Source organism: Homo sapiens, chromosome X, assembly GCF_000001405.40.
Source record: "Homo sapiens chromosome X, GRCh38.p14 Primary Assembly".
NCBI classification, from domain to species: Eukaryota; Metazoa; Chordata; class Mammalia; order Primates; family Hominidae; genus Homo; species Homo sapiens.
This window is the reverse complement of record NC_000023.11, coordinates 152551756-152568800: the sequence shown is the minus strand read 5'-3', so window position 1 is coordinate 152568800 and position 17045 is coordinate 152551756. Positions and strand designations below refer to the sequence as shown.

Here is a 17045-nt window from a genome sequence, read left to right as displayed (position 1 = left end):
TTTGGGGTGATTCCATGCCTTTGCTATTGTGAATAGTGCTGCAGTGAACATTAGCGTGCATGTATCTTTATAATAGAATGATTTATATTCCTTTGGGTATATATCCAGTCATGGGGTTGCTGGGTCAAATGGTATTTCTGGTTCTAGGTCTTTGAGGAATCACCACACTGTCTTCCACAATGATTGAACTAATTTACACTCCCACCGACAGTATAAAAGTGTTCCTATTTCTCCACAGCCTCATCAGCACCTGTTGTTTCCTGACTTATTAATAATTGCCATTCTGATAGGTGTGAGATGATATCTCATTGTGGTTTTGATTTGCATTTCTCTAATGATTAGTGATGTTGAGCTTTTGTTTTTCATATGTTTGTTGGCTGCATAAATGTCTTCTTTTGAGAAGCATCTGTTCATGTCATTTGCCCACATTTTAATAGGGTTGTTTTTTTTTTCTTGTAAATTCAAGTTCCTTGTAGATTCTGGATATTAGCCCTTTGTCAGATAGATAGACTGCAAAAATTTTCTCCCATTCTGTAGGTTGCCTGTTCACTCTGATGATAATTTCTTTTGCTGTTGCACTCAGTTTTGAAGCTCTCAATGGACAAATCCACACGGGCTTCAGCTTGGGGCGGATTTCAGGAATAATGGCTACAGGCATTGGAGTCAACCTTTAGGGTCATGTGGCAGCCATCACATTTTTTGCTACATGCTTAGGAGGTATCCTAACTTGTATCTGCAGGTCATTCTGGAGTTGAGACCTATAATCCCATGGGGAGCACTAGCTCTTCAGAGGTGAGGTAAGACAGACTATATTGGTATAATTGTCAGGTTTATTATCACAGAATGTATTGTAGGCAGGGTGATTGCTAAACGGAGAAATTCCCTTAAACTCAAGCCTGGAAGCTAGGGCTTGGTACCTGCTAGTGAAATTCCCTGATGCTGATCCTCGCTTTCTTGGAATATAAGCATTGCCCACTCCTACGTTTTTCATTATTATACTTGGGCCACCTGTTGAGATGCTTGGACCCTTGTCATTCCTCTTCTCTAAGCTGTAGCAATCACTATACAGCACCTTTGCCTTCCAGATTGAATTGTCCCCCAGTACCTATAAAAGAGCCTGTATTCTATGTGCCTGTCCTGTTCCATTAATCCAGTACTTTTTCAGGTCTTCTCATCCAGCCTGTTTTGTCCTGCAGTGAACCAGGCCTACCTAGCCCCATCCTCAGCTAGAATAAAAGCAACCATAAATATAAAAAGATTGAGTGAGCTGAGACCATAGTTCTTTTTTTAGTTCTTTAGATTCACTAACAACTGGGTTATATTTATTTGCTCACATATCTGTCTTTCATACAAGACAGTAAGCTCTGAGAGAAGTTACACTGTCCACAGGACCTTGGCATAAAGTAGGTCCTCTCTGAATGCTGGTTGAAATTAAAATGAAAAGTGTGTAACCAGCCACATGCCCTCTAAGTGACTTCAGGGTCTCCTCAGGACCTCCCCAGTGGTGTTGCCACTGACCGTCAAGGGCCACAAGACTCCGTGGGAAGAACTGAAGGTGCTCTGATGGCAGGTAAGGGGTGAATAGGGATTTGCATCCATAGGTTACTTCCTCCACATTAGTCTCTCTTTTAAGGTGTGAACTCCTCTTTAGGATTTGCAAGGAACTGTTTTGAGGCGGGAGAAGTGACAACTGGGAAAAAGTTGTTTTATTTTAAAAATAAGACAAGAGGCCCCGGTGTGTGATGTATACATATGTAACAAAGCTGCAGGTTGTGCACATGTACCCTAAAACTTAAAGTATAATAAAAAAAAGAAAAAAATATGAGACAAGAGTCATTTTTAGAAAGTACCCACCAGCGAGTTTGAAGTCCATTACTGGCAAACTGTCCAAATGGAAATACAAGTTTTGTGGGCACTCGTGGAGTGAGGTGACCATCAGCAGGAGATAGCATGGGGTTATGGAGTACAGATCACTCCAAACAATTTAATTTTCATCCTCTCTTTCTTTCCTTTAAATTTTTGATTGGGTTCTTTACTATCCTTGTAGACCAGGGAAACGTTGAACACAGTGTATCTGGATTTCGGCACAGCATCTGACAAAGCCCTTCATGATATCTTCATGGGTGAGATAGACAGAAGGGGGCTAATAAGAACATGATTAAGTTGATCTCTAATTGCTCGAATGACCATACCCCAAATTGACTGACTACATCATGAATATTATCACCAGTTTACAGATGAAACAAAGGGAAATTAAGTAAGACCCATGATCACATAACTAGCCTTGGGGTATTTTCAAAGTACTTTGTATAAATCCAAGGGGTTCTTACATCAGTTTTTCCTTATAAAATGTGGCACAAAGTAATCGAACAATCAGGCTCCTGTCTTTGCTTTGGTTCGCAATGAAATCAGTGATCATCAGGGCCTGTTTGCCTACAAAGATCAGTTTGAAGGAGAAAGTGGAAGAAAGATAAGGAAAACTCAGAGACTGTTATATAAATGGATCACAAAATGATTCCAAATGATAACACTGGGTTCTGAAGAACATGAAACTAAGTGGCTGGATAACTGCCTATCGACAGATGCTTTAAGATGATTTAGTTCTGCCTCAATTCATGTTAAAATAGAAACAGAACATGTGAAATCGGTGGAGCATCTCATTGGGTAAAATAAGCTCTGGGTGAGCAAGTTAACAACGTGACCTAGATGGCAAGGCTCTCTTTCCCAAGGACCATGTCACCTCTTTATTGTGTGATATGCTAAGTGTAAAAAGGAGGGTGAGGAATTCACTGTGGGGTGTGTGGGTGTGTGCATGGGCAAGCGTGGGCATGTATGTATTTGCATTTATATATTTAATCATATATGTGTGTCCAGGGATATACTGTATGCAATTAAGGGATTATTACCAATATATGTCCTTATGCAACATAACACAAAGTAATCTAGTAATCAGATCTCTCTTGTTTTTGCCTTCTGAAGAGGTACTCAGGGCATGTTTGCCTACAAAGATCAGCTTGAAGTAGAAACTGAGAAAAGGATAAAGAAAATCAGAGGCTGCTAGATGACTACATCACAGGAATTTTCTAAATGATAACAGTGGGTTATGAAGAACATGTAAGGAAAAGATAAAAATAACTGCCATTTCTGTTCTGATTATGGTGGCTCCTATTTAAGTCTCCCATCGCTAATGCCTTAGATAGGTTTTGCTCTTGATGGTTTGCAAAATATTTTCACACATGTCATCTTGTTGGATTTTACAACACTGCCATAAAGTAAAAATTAGGGATTAAAAACAATTCCCATTTTACAAATAATTCCCATTTTACAAATAAGCAAACTGAGCACCAAAGAATGGTAGAGCTTTGTCCAAAGTCACAATGGGGACCGTGACAAAGCTAAAACTCAATTTCAGGTCTCTAGGCCCTTATCCAGTGTTCTCTTTGTTAAGTCACATCGCCATCCCCTTTCGGAGGCATTTTCTGTGTTTCCTCTTTCCACTACTTCTATTGTTTTTCATGCCCTTAGCTACTAGCTTCTCCATTCCCTTTCTGCCTTCCTCATAATTTCTTTCACTCCTGATTTGGATAGAATCTAAGGCAGAAAATAGATGTGTGAGCTGGTGCCAGAAAACCATGTAAATTTCCCAACTTTAACCCTAGGTGAAGAAGTATAGGGTTATGTGTTTTGTGTGTGTGTATGTGTGTGTGTGTGTGTGTGTGTGTGTGTGTGTGTGTGTGTGTGTGTGCATGCGCAAGAATGTAGGGGATGGGGAATGCAAGAGGTGGGGTTCAGGTGAGTGTTGAGATCAGCAATGCAGAGAGTCAGGCCAAGAGTAAAACTTCAACCTCGACCATGGTTCTCAAAATGAAGTTTCATAATAGAACATCACCTCTACCAACCTCTTGACTGGTTTTCAAAACATACAGGTGTCTGCTCTCAATCAGTAACAAAAACCTTCACACCAACCATTGTTTAATAGTAAAACCTTAAGTTATCTGTTCAAAAACTCAGGTAAATGAAATGATTCTGCTAAGTTCTTCACTTTAGGTTTCAGTAAACCATATTGGATCTACAGCGTAGTATTACTAACCCCAAGCTCTTAGGTTACAACTTGTGGCCATGTGCATCATTGATAGAGAAATCCCCCCAAAAGTAAGCATGCCTTTCTTTTTTTTCTATATGTTTTAAAAATTGATTTTTAATTGACACATAATAATTGTACATATTTATGGGGTACATAGCGATGTTTTAATACATACAATGTATAGTGATCAGATCAGAGTAATCAGCATATCCATCATCTCAAACATTTATTATTTCTTTGTATTGGGAGCATTCAATATCCTGTCTTCTAGCTCTTTGAAAATATATGATATATCATTGCTAACTATAATAACACAACAATGCTATAGAATACTAGACTCATTCCTCCTATCTAGCTGAAATTTTGTATCATTTAACAAATCCCTCCTTATTCTCTCCCTTTCCCTCTACTCTTCTCAGCCTCTAGTAACCTCTGTTCCAATTTCTATTTCTGTAAGATCAACTTTGTAAGATTGCACATATGAGTGAGCTCATGCTATATTTGTCTTTCTGTGCCTCGCTTATTTCACTTAACATAACATCCTCCAGGCTCATCTATGTTGCCATGAATAACAGGATTTCATTCTTTTTTATGGCTGAATAGTATTCCATTGTGTGTATATGTGTGTGTGTGTGTGTGTATATATATATATATATCACGTTTTCTTTATCAGTTCATCCTTTGAAAGGCACTTAAATTGCTTCCATATCTTGGCTATTGTGAATGGTACCGCAGTAAACACAGGGGTGCCAATATCTCTTTGATACACTGATTTCCTTTCCTTTAGATAAATACCTAGTTATGGGATTGCTGGATCATATGGTAGTTCTATTCATTGTTTTTTGAGGAACCTCCATATTGTTCTCTGTAATGGCTGTACTAGTTTATATCCCCACAATCAGTGCATAAGTGTTACCCTTTCTCTGTATCCTTGCCTGTCTTTTTTATTTTTAATCTTTTTTATACAGTAGCCATTCTAACAGATATGAGGTGATATCTCATTGTGGTTTTGATTTGCATTTCCCTGATAATTAGTGATATTGAGCATTTTTAAATATACTTGTTGGCCATTTCTTTCACACTGTGCAGAGTAACCTGGGACCAGCACACTACCTCCAATAGCTTTTGTCATGGAAACTTATATATGGAGAGAAGAAAATTAAACACTTGAGGTTTCCAGACTAGATAAGGTGGGCATTTTAGCTCTCTGAAATGCCACTCCCTACTCAACAACAAAAATAGAAAATGAGGGTCAAGTAATGGAAGAAGAAACATGCTTCTAATATTTCAAATATGCAATGATACCAAAGGGATTGACATCATTGTTGTGATTTAAATTCCAATTTGGTTTTGAGTTTCCTAGTAGCCATGACAAAAATGGAAAATGGTCTGAACCACCCTTCCAGTCCATGAGAATGTGACTAGTACTAGAATTACTTCTTTGAAACATTAAAAAAATATTAAAGAACTTTCTTTTGTTTTTTACTATATCCACCTCCAATTTAACCACTAATCTCCTATCAACAGTTTTTATAAGAGAAATGTTTTTTTCTAATCTCAGAAAAAATAGATATTTGGGATTGCGATGGACTCAACACTTAAAGAAATACATTGATATGCCTAATTTAATTCATCCATTCCTGTCATTCCTTGGCTTGGAATTTACTTATAGGAGAAGTAAGACAAGGTGTTTTTTTTTTTTTTTCTTTGACAGGGTGTATTAGTCCATTTTCACGCTGCTGATAAAGACATACCTGAGACTGGGCAATTTACAAAAGAAAGAGGTTTAATGAACTTACAGTTGCACCTGGCTGGGGAGGCCTCGCAATCATGGCGGAAGTCAAGGCGGAGCAAGTCACATCTTAGGTGAATGGCAGCAGGCAAAAAGAGGGCTTGTGCACAGAAACTCCCGTTTTTAAAAGCATCAGATCTCGTGAGACCCATTCACTATCACGAGAACAGCATAGGAAAGACCCACCCGCATGGTTCAATCATCTCCCCCCAGGTCCCTCATACAACACGTGGGGATTATGGGAGCTACAAAATGAGATTTAGGTGGGGACACAGAGCCAAACCATATCACAGGGTCTTGCCCTGTCACCCAGGCTGGAGTGCAGTGGGGTGATCTCGTCTCACTGCAACTTCTGAATCCCAGGCTCAAGTGATCCTCCCTCCTCAGCCTCCTGAGTAGCTAGGACTACAGGTGAGCACCACTACACCCAGCTAATTTTGGTATTTTTTGTAAAGATGGGGTTTTGTCGTGTTGATCAGGCTGGTCTCCAACTCCTGGGCTCAAGAGTTCTGTCCACCTTGGCCTCCCAAAGTGCTGGGATTACAAGCATTAGCCACCGCGCTGGACTGTTAAGTTTGTTTCTAATCAATAATTTACTTATGCAAATATGTAAAAAACATCCATGTTGCTTGCAAAGTGATTCTACCCCAAGAGACTAATTGTTTTAATGCTTGCTAGTTTGGCTGTGCTTCTCCATGTTGGGGAGCCTTTAGTAGCTATTCTTTTTTTTTATTATTATTACACTTTAAGTTCTGGGATACGTGTGCAGAACGTGCAGGTTTGTTACATAGGTATACATGTGCCATGGTGGTTTGCTGCACCCATCAACCCGTCATCTACATTAGGTATTTATCCTAATGCTATCCCTCCCCTAGCCCCCCATCCCGCTACAGGCCCCCGTGTGTGATGTTCCCCTCCCTGTGTCCATGTGTTCTCATTGCTCAACTCACACTTATGAGTGAGAACATGCGGTGTTTGGTTTTCTGTTCCTGTGTTAGTTTTCTGAGAATAATGGTTTCCAGCTCTTAAGAGGTATTTGCAATCTCTGTATACCCTTTGCCATGCAAGACTGACATTCCAGAGACTGTTCATTTCACCCCTGTTTTCTTGCAATTTAAATAAGCTGCTAAGTGGAAGGTGTGTTTTGGTTGTAGTATCACATCATGAACAGCTCTGCACGATAAACAGAATTAAAGAGTATTATCATGATTTTCCACTAATTTACATTTTTTTCCATAGAGAGTGAACACTTTACTAAATCAGCTATGCATAAACAGTAACTAGTATTAACATAAACATTAAATATAAATAGGATATAATTTAAAGCAAAATTTAGGGAACTACAAACACCTGGGTACAATTAGGTATCTTACTCATCTTTGTTACAAATTCCAATCTTTTATTTGTTCTGCTTTGGGCTTTAATAAAAAAAAAAATTTAACCCTTTCTCTTACCTCTCTGCAGCATGTAAAAAGGCTTTGCCTTGTATTTAGCATTCTAACTGTTGGAGTGACAGTTATAGCATTCTGTGGTGGCCACATGTAATGGGGTGGATAATTAAAATAATTCTCTCATTATATGAATATATCACAGCCTAATACTGAGTTAATTCCCCAAGTTTCCTTCTTTACAGATATCATCTTTTTTTCTGTAAGCTACTACACAAAAATTCGAATAGAATATGTTACAGTCATGTTGGACTGCCCCATAGTTCAGGCCTTAGATTCTGAACTCTCTTACTACACTTTAATCTTATATGATTTCGTCTATTGCCACAGATTTAAATATCACTTTTGTATATGGCTACAAAATTTATAACTCTATTCAAACTGCCTACCTGAGTTTCCACTTAAATATCTTGTAGGCTTCTCAAACTTACTATATCGAAAACCGAACTGATTCCTCTACCACCATCTCAATCCTCTGCAGTCTTACACTTCAGTAAATGGTACCACCATCAACCCAGCTGTTTAAACTCAAAACTTTGGAATCATCCTTGATTCCTGTCATTTCTCATCCTCCATGGCCAGTATATCAGTGTGTCATATTAGTTCTACCTCTTCTCCACATTGCCAATGCCACCACCCTGGTCCCAGCCACCATACTGTGTTGCTTGAACCATGGCCACAGCTTCTGTGCTGAGCTCCCTGCCTCCTACCTTGCTTCCTCACATTCTATTTTCCTTCAAAAACTGAAAACCAGTCCATGTCCATTTTGATCCCCTACTGAAATACTTTAAAGACTTCCTGTAGCATTTGGAAAAAAATTCAGAATTATCCCCATAACTATAAGGCTCTACATGATCTAGCTGCCCCCTAACTTGTCAACTATCTCCCTCAGGGAACTGAAACCCAGTTGGGCCTCCTTTGTTTTTTTTTAGTTTAAAGTGCATTGCTATCTCAATATTACATTATAATTTTTGTTCTCTGCTTGAGGCTTTTTCCCAGGTCCTTTGAATGCCTGGCTCCTTGTTATGCTTCAGGTCTTAGCTCAAATATCCTTTCTCAGAGTAGTGTTCCTGACAATGCCACAGTGCCTCTAATGCTCCCCTTAACTTTCTATCACATTCCCCAGTTTTATTTCTTTCATATCACTTACCACAAATTAAAAATATCTTATTGATTTACTTGTTTCTGGTATGTCTTTCCCCAGCTAGAATGTAAGGTTCTCAAAGGCAGGGACCTTGTATGTATTGACATTTCTGTTCTCCAGAATCTTAAGCTCTATCAGGAACTGCTGCCTACATAATAAATATTTATTAAACTGCAAATGAAGGAATTCAATATGTCTATCAACAGTAGTATGAATACCAGATTCCCCAACCCCTGCCTTTTTTTAAACCAACATTGGATTATTGTGGTCTTTCAAAAGAGTGAAACTTCTTTATACCCTTAATGACTACTTTGGGATTTATATAATTAAAGTGTGGTGAATAAAACCTTTCCTGCCTTATTGTTCCCATTGCTAGAGAACCAATTCTGCCAGTGATAGCTTCTGAATAACTCCATGGGCTAAATAGGGCCACATACTTCACGGACTTTCTAAGAAACCATTGCACACTCTAGTAGAAATGGACAACCAGAGTAGGAAGCGGGTAGTTGTCAAGAGGGCAAGCCACTTTTCCATTGCAAGTTGTACTGAGAGAAGCCTGGCCGGCACTTGATTGAGAAGAAATGCTTTGAAATTAAAATTTGCAATTTATTGAATTAGCCTGCAGTGGGTTGTTTTCTTGTTGCCAGCGTCCTGAATGCTATGAGCTCTACCTGAGATGTCATTAGGAGACAAGGACATAGTTGAAGGCAGTGATGAGGGGATGGAGGAAGGAATTTCATGTTTATAATCCACCAACTTCTGACTTTTAAATAAAGAGCTTATGGTTATAAAGCTTATGCTTTCTTAGTTATTACTAAAATTACAAAGCCTACATGACTTTTAATAAATATTTTCTTTAAAATTACCCATTTCCAGCTACAAAATGCAAACTCTTTGAGAATATAACTAGACAAAAGGTAGAGTTGAAATCACAATGGAGGCTAGGTGCGTGTCCTTTCCTATCCTAAATTTCTTAATATGCTGGAAAGATATTTTAAAATTTAAACAAACTCAAGACAACTAAAAGAATCACACAAGTACAAACAAAGAATACAAATCCACCTAAAATATCCATGGGAAATTTTAAAAATTGACCATATTTTAAGGTACCAAAAATTTTAATTCCTGCATTAATCAGAATTGGCTAGATTGTGCTGCAATTACAAATAAACCCTGAAATCTCAGTGGCTGCTCAAATTCTCTCTCTTACACTTCTCTCTTACACAAAATCTGATGGAAGCTGGATTTCTCTAATCTATCTTAATCCACCTGAAACATGTAAACTTATATGTTGCCAAGACAGGGCAAGAGAGAGCTTTAAATTATCTGATATGGTTTGGATGTTTTGTCCCCTCGAAATCTCATGCTGAAATATAATCTCCAATGTTGGAAGTGGGGCCTGGTGTTGGGTCATGGGGGTGGATCCCTCATGAATGGTTTGGTGCTCTCCTCTCTGTAATGAGTGAGTTTTTTCTCTGAGTTCATGAGAGGGATGGTTGTTTGAAAGAGTGTGGCACCTCCCCGTCCCTTGCTTTCTCTCTTACCATGTGATACGCTGGCTCCCCCTTCACCTTCCACCATGACTGGAAGCTTCCTGAGGCCCTCATCAGAAGCAGATGCTGGTACCATGCTTCCTGTACAGCCTGCAGAACTGTGAGCCAAAATAAATCTCTTTCCTTTACAAATTACCCACCCTCAGGTATTCCTTTATAGTGATGCATATGGGCTAACACAACCTCAGCCCCAAAGTGAGACATGTACCTTCTCACAACAATAACAACAAAACAGTAGACTTGATCCATAAAACCAAAAGCTTTTTTTTCCTAAAAATTAAATAAAATTAGTCAAATGTGACTTAAAAAGCCAGAAAAAACACAAATTACATTAGAAATGATAAATGAGGTATAACCACAGACCCAGAAGAAACTTTGTTAAAATATTGTATTTAACCTCTACTGGTAATTTTGTAAATTTTTTAAGAGATGGAAAATATGAATAAGAATAATGTCTGAATTTCTGATATAGTTTTAGAATAATTCCTATACAGAGATAATTAATAATTATAGAAGAAATTAAAAAGGTAACCAAAAGTTTGCCCCTAAAAACAATAGTAGGCTCAAGTAATTTTATGGGTGAGTTATATCAAATCTTCAAGAAACAGATAATCTCTATATTATATGAACAGTTTTAGAAGATAGAGAAATATGGAATGTCAACTAACCCATTATACAAAGCCGGCAAAATAATGATACTAAAAACAATCAAGATAACACACAGAAAAGGAACTATGGGTTCATTTGTGTACAATAATAACATAAACTTATTGAGTACATTCTGTCATGCCAGACACAGTTCAAAGCCTTGTAAGTACTATGCTGTTTCCCAAAATAATGAAGAAATCCCACCTTTAGCAGTGGTGGAATAGGTTGCTTTATACCAATCCTCCTGCTGAAGACAGTGAATGAAGCTCAATAATAATATTTCAAAGCACTTCTTTGGAGTCATCAGGGAACTAACAAGGCAGGGAGGATTTTCAGGGCCAAGGTCCCAGACAGAAGCCCAGGGAGGGGAGTCTGGTATTTTATGCTGCTTTACCCTACTAAGAAATTATTGATTCTGAAAAGTAGTGGATGAGAGGCCAAGCAGCTGAGCTGAGCTTTTGACAGACTCATGGAAAGCAATAAATTAAGAGCTCAATGGATAGATTTAAGAACAAATTAAATAAAACTGAAAAGAAAATTAGTGAATAGAAATATAATTTTGAAGAAAAAATTTTAGACTGAAGCACAAAAGGGACAAAAGAATAAAAATACAGAAATGAACGTAAGATAATATGACATAGTGTGACAGAGTCTAACATATGTGAGACTGGAATCCTAGAAGAAGAGAGAAGTGATGTTTAAGTAGATAATGACTGAGAATTTTCTAAAATTGATGAAACATATTGAAACAAAGATTATGAAAGTCCTATAAAATTCAAGCATGGTTTCTCTTGTATACATTATAGTCAAACTGCTGAAAAACCAAAGACAAACAGAAAATCTTAAAACCAGCCAGAAGAAAAAGGACATATCCTTTTCAAAGGAGAAACTGTGAGATTGATATTGACCTGTCAAAGAAACAGTAGAAGCCAGAAGCAAATAAAATGACATCTTTAAAATAGTGAAAGAAAATAACCACCGACCTGGAATTCTTTATTCATTAAGTTATCTTTAACAAATGAAGGGAAGACACAGACATTTTCAAATAAAAAGTAATTAAGGGAATTCATCACCAGGACACCTGCACTAAAAGAAATACCTAAATACTGCTTTTCAGGCAGCAGAAAAATTATCCCAAGTAGATGCAAGAAAGAATAAAGAGCAATAGAAAAGGTAATTATTACTATATGGAAAAATCTGAATAAATATTGCTTCTGTTTACACAAAAATAACAATTAAAAAAAACATTTTATAAAAACAACAAATACCACAAGTGGCAGGAGGGAGTAAATGGAATTGGAATGTTTTAAGGTCCCTGCATACACTTGTGCTAATTTGAAAAACAACAATGCATGTTACAATCTCTAGATTAACCATTAAAGGAATAAGCAGATTAAAAAAATCAGTAAGTATATAGAACATGTGAACATGGTTAACACATTTGACTTCATTGACATTTATAGAACACAGCATTTAACAATGGCGGAATTTTTTTTCAATTGCACATGGAATATTTACCAAAATCAACCATTATTGGACCATAAAGCAAGGCTCAACAAATTTCAAAGGGCTGAAATCGCATAGATTAGAATGTCTGACCATAGTAGAAATAAGCTAGAAATCAATAACAAAAGATAACTAGAAAATTACCACATATTTGAAAATTAACACACTTAAAAATAACCAATGGGTCAAAACTGGAATCACAGTGAAAATTTGAAAATACTTAGAACTGCAGGAGCAAAAATGAAATATAAAAACATAATGGAAAGGAAGAGGCAAACTGTTATTTTATGTGTTTCTAATTATAAAATCCAAGAAAACCAACCGGAAGACTACTGGAACTTATAAGCACTCAGAGATAGCTGATTACCACATAAAAATCAATAGCTTTTCCATACAGTAGCAAAAGCTGATTAGAAAATGTCATGGTGAAAATATTTCACATTGCAATGGCAAGAAATAGTATAAATACATAAAAATAAACTGAACAAGAAATGTGCCATACTAAATGAAAAATGTTATATTTTGCTGATGGATATAAAGATGGATGGAAATTGAGAAACATACCTGGAACCTGGATGGCATGCAGTGTAGGGTTAGGAATATTGACTCTGGCTCCAGGAATCTGGAGCCCAGCCTGCTCAACTTCAAATCCTGGCTCTGTCACTTCCTAGCAGTGTGACTTTGGCCTATTACTTAAACCTCTTTGTGCCTCAATTTTATTTCCCTGTAAAGTGTCAGTAGCCATAGAGTTAAGGTTCACTGAGGAATCAATGAGTTATTCTACCATGATTAACCTATATAAGGCTGTGTGACCTGCACCCTGCTCTCCTGATTCCCTGTATCCTACTTTCCCTCCTCATTTTATTTTCTATAGCACTAACTACCCTCTAGCATATGATATCATTTACTTATTTTTGTTTGTTTGTTTTGAGGCAGGGTCTTGCTATTACCCAGGCTGGAGTGCAGTGGTGTGATCATCACTCATTGCAACCTTGATCTCCTGGGCTCAAGCGATCTTCCCACCTCAGCCTCCCAAGTAGCTGGGACCACAGGCATATGCCACCACGTCCAGCTAATTTTTAAACTTTTTGTAGAGATGGGATCTCCCTATGTTGCCCAGGCTGGCCTCAAACTCCTGGACTCAAGTGATCCTCCCGCTTTGGCCTCCCAAAGTGCTGGGATTACAGACGTGAGCCACCGCACCAGGCCGTATTTCTTATTTATTGACTGACTACCTCTGCCAAAATATAAGCTTCTTGAGGGCAAGAATCTCTGTTTTAATTTTTTGACATAAGAAATAAAATAAAATATAAATACATGTCTATATTTTTGAAAATATACCCCAAATGCTTAGATAATTTACTTGGCACCTGGCAGGGAAAATAGAATCATACCTGGTACACAATAAGCACTATTATTATAGTAAAGATGTCAGTTCTCCAGAAATTATAAATGTAATGCAACCCAATTAATATCACAGTGAGATGTTTTATAGAATTTGAGAAGCTGATTCTAGAATTCATTAGAAAGAGAAAGCAACAAAAGCGAATAAAACTTTTTAAAGGAACATGGTAGGAGGGGCTCGTCTTGCCATTAATCAGCACAATGACTTATTGGCACAGGAATAGACAAATAGATCCGTGAGATTGTGTGTGTGTGTGTGTGTGGGTGGGTGTTTGTAAAGATAGCATTTCACATGAGTGGAGAATAAACTATTCCATACCTAGTGTGGGCATAATTGACTGTTGGTTATCTTTCTATAAGATCTTTCCCACACCCTCCCAGCTTAAAAGCAATTCCTAATGGACTAAATAGCTTCTGTTTTTGATCATCTACTAACATGATTTTTAAATCAATATTTTCTCATTACTGCTTGCAATGATTTTCAAGTAGTTAAGCCTGAGTTCTGTTGATTTAAGTTGAGTTCCAAATCAAAGGGGCTCTGGTTTTAATTCCTGCACCTGCTACTAATTTTCTTTGTGTCCTTGAGCAAAGCACTTCCCCTTTAAGTGCTCAGTTCCATTGTCTACGAAGTGAGAAGTTTTTATTCAATTAATTAAGATACAGACAAGTTCAACTAACTGTTAGGTGATTTTAAATAATCCTCACAGCTCATTTTCTTCCTATTTTATAGTTGAAGAAACTAAGGTTCAGAAGAACAATGGCCTGTCCAGGATCTCACAACCAGCATCTACTTGTTCCAGTTCAAGTTAGGTTTGGCTGTTAATAACATCACCTGGTGGATCAAGGTAGAGGTTTGGGTTTTTTCCCAGTAAAATCAGCACAGTGTTAGGCAGTCCAAGGATAGTTTTAAGGAAGAAGGGGAAAATAAAATTGACTCAACAACTAGCATTTCGGTTACAGTGGTGAAATCTCACATCCAGGTCTACTGATCTATGTGTGATGCTCTTTTCATTAAATCTATAGACCTGACCCTCAGATTTGTAGAGACAACTTGGAGAGAAGATCAACATAGATTTCATGGAGGGAATGGCACTCGGGTTGTGCCTGCATTGATGGCTAGGAGGTGGACAGTTGGAGCCGGGATTCAGGGAATGCTTTGTTGTGGTGGGAACAGGATGGTCATGGACTGCAAGGGGAGGGGAAAGATGAGGGACAGGGTGTGGCTAAGATTGATTGGGTCCAGCATGGGTAATGGGAGGCTGGCAGTGACCCAGGCTGCTAGTAGTATGGCTTGTAGAGCATAGTTTCTTAAAGACATTAAGACATTATTCATGAAAGACATTATATGCCTGGGGGACCTTGGCATCCCCTGCCCTCAAAAAATTAAAAGAAAACAAACACGGTACCAGCAGGGATGGAACAGGCTAGAGGCTAGGGGATGGCACTTTATGTGGAGAGTTGGCTCAACTCAAAAAATTAGCTCCTGCTTGCCTGTCCAGGGTTGCTGATGTCTCTCCTTTGGGTTCAGGTAGCAGTTCCTAAACTTTGCTGTACATTGGAATCACCTGGAATCATCTTTAACAAACACTGCCCACTGGCTCCTGCCTTTAGAGATCCGATTTGAGTAGTATGGAGTGTAACCTGGGCTTCAAGAGTTGGAAACGCTCTGTAGGTGATTGGAATTCTTGGTCAGATTCGAAATCCACCAGGTGAAGGCATTGAATGCGAAATGTTAACCGTGAATTATATTTGGTGCCATTATGATTACATATAACATTGTATATAATGTTACCTATTATTATTGATACAGTTTTCCATTATATAGGCAGGCTGGGAGACAGTCCCAGCCCAGCCCTGGGCGCTTGCTGCCGCCTTGCCTGCAGAGCCACTAACCCAGAGGGCTTCACACAGTGAGGAGGGTGCCTTATTTGGCAGTATCTAACTCTGAGGCGCTGCATCCCCCGTTAGCACTTTCACAAGATGCTTTAGCACGCATTTGAGGCCTTCCGGGTTGAAAAACCAACAAAAGCAATTGAAAAGATGAATTTCCTGGGATTTAAAAGGTACTTATAATCACATCTCTCTTGCCACCCCCTGCCCTCCCAACTAGTGGGTTGGTTGGTCTCGTTTCAGTTGTGTAAGAGCTCTTTTAGCAGGGAACTAAAAGTCCTGGGCTAGAGTTGGCAGGGTCGGTGGGTAAGGCTTGGCTTGCTCTGGGGGCCAGGGCAGAGCTCTGGAGCCAGGGCGTGTCCATTTGGTCAGGGACCACTCCCCATCCCCGACTTTTCTGGGCTCCACGGGCTCTGCACAGTCAAGCTGTTTCCTGCCTTATCAGCAAAGGAGCTGGAGAAATGGAGAAGTGACAGCCATCTGTGTAAATTAACTCATTACCAGTAAAAAATTTGCAACACCTGGTATAAATTTCGCTGAGTTCAAAGTTGTAGCAGATAAAGGTACAATTAGGCTGAGAAGCTGCCTATTGGTGGCCGGGTAGGTGAGAGTGTGGGCGAAGGGCTTGCAGAGCCACAGTGGGGCTCTGTTTGCAAGTGGGAGCGGAGGCTGGGAGTTAGTGGCCTGCTGGCCTCCTCAGTGTTTAGCTGAAATTGCTGCTATTGTCAATAGAGATTGACAATTTAAAGAGCTACAAGAGCCTTGTCTGCTGATTGAATTTATTTATCAGCCGCATATTTTTGATCATGAGTAGAGGTGGCTTATCAAAAAGACGCGACGTGATGATGCATAAACCATTTTGTTTTGTTTAGCGAAAGTTGAAGTAAATTACATTTGTTATTTCAGTATTGCCTCGTCAAATTCTCAGGAGAACAATAATTCTAGAGCTCACTCAGAGTAGAGCAGACCAGCTCAATTATTAAAGTATTGAAAGGGAAGGCTGAGCAAGAAAGATTTGCTGTTGTAGCAGTTCCCTTTTCCTGAAGCATTTCCCCTTCAACTGATGGGAAAAAGAGTGAAGGAGAAGGTGCAGGAAAGGAGAAAGGGCAGTTGTTGTTTTGTAGCTGGAGGCTTTTATTTCCCCAGTGAGGGCCAGGTTTGCTGAAGAAAGAGGTCTATCTATGAAGGTTTTGGTCTAAAGGTTAATAGGATGTCAGAGAAAGTGAGAAAAAGGGAAGGCACTTGGAAAAGGATATGAATGACTTTCAAAGAGAGATTCTATTTGATTGTAAAAAAACAGATTACAGGTCAAATAAGTACACAGTAAAGTAATAATGGTTAAAATATACCTAGTTCTAAATATGTGCTGGCAGCTTTCTAAATATTTTACATATATTAACTAATTTAGTCTCAGAATAAGCTCATGAGGTAGAAACTAGTATTACCATCCCCTTAATGGTTGAAAAAACTAGGGCAAAGATAATTTGCTTAAGGTCAAAAGTGAGTATGCAGTGGAACCAAAATTTGGTTCCAGTAGGTATGGTTCTAGACCCTATTCTCTTGATCAACAGTACTC

General features: G+C 38.6%; 1 long non-coding RNA gene across 3 annotated transcripts in view; it reads left to right on the top strand.

Annotated features, from left to right (window-relative positions):
• MAGEA3-DT (MAGEA3 divergent transcript) overlaps positions 1–14424 on the top strand; it is a 144351-nt gene extending 129927 nt beyond the window's left edge. For 2 of the 3 annotated variants that reach the window (XR_001755976.2, XR_001755975.2), the window contains one exon: positions 14310–14418. This is a non-coding gene — a long non-coding RNA (MAGEA3 divergent transcript). Of the gene's footprint in view, positions 1–14309 lie in introns of all 3 variants that reach the window. The other variant, XR_938525.3, reaches the window with a different exon arrangement.
• Positions 14425–17045: the final 2621 nt, after the last annotated feature.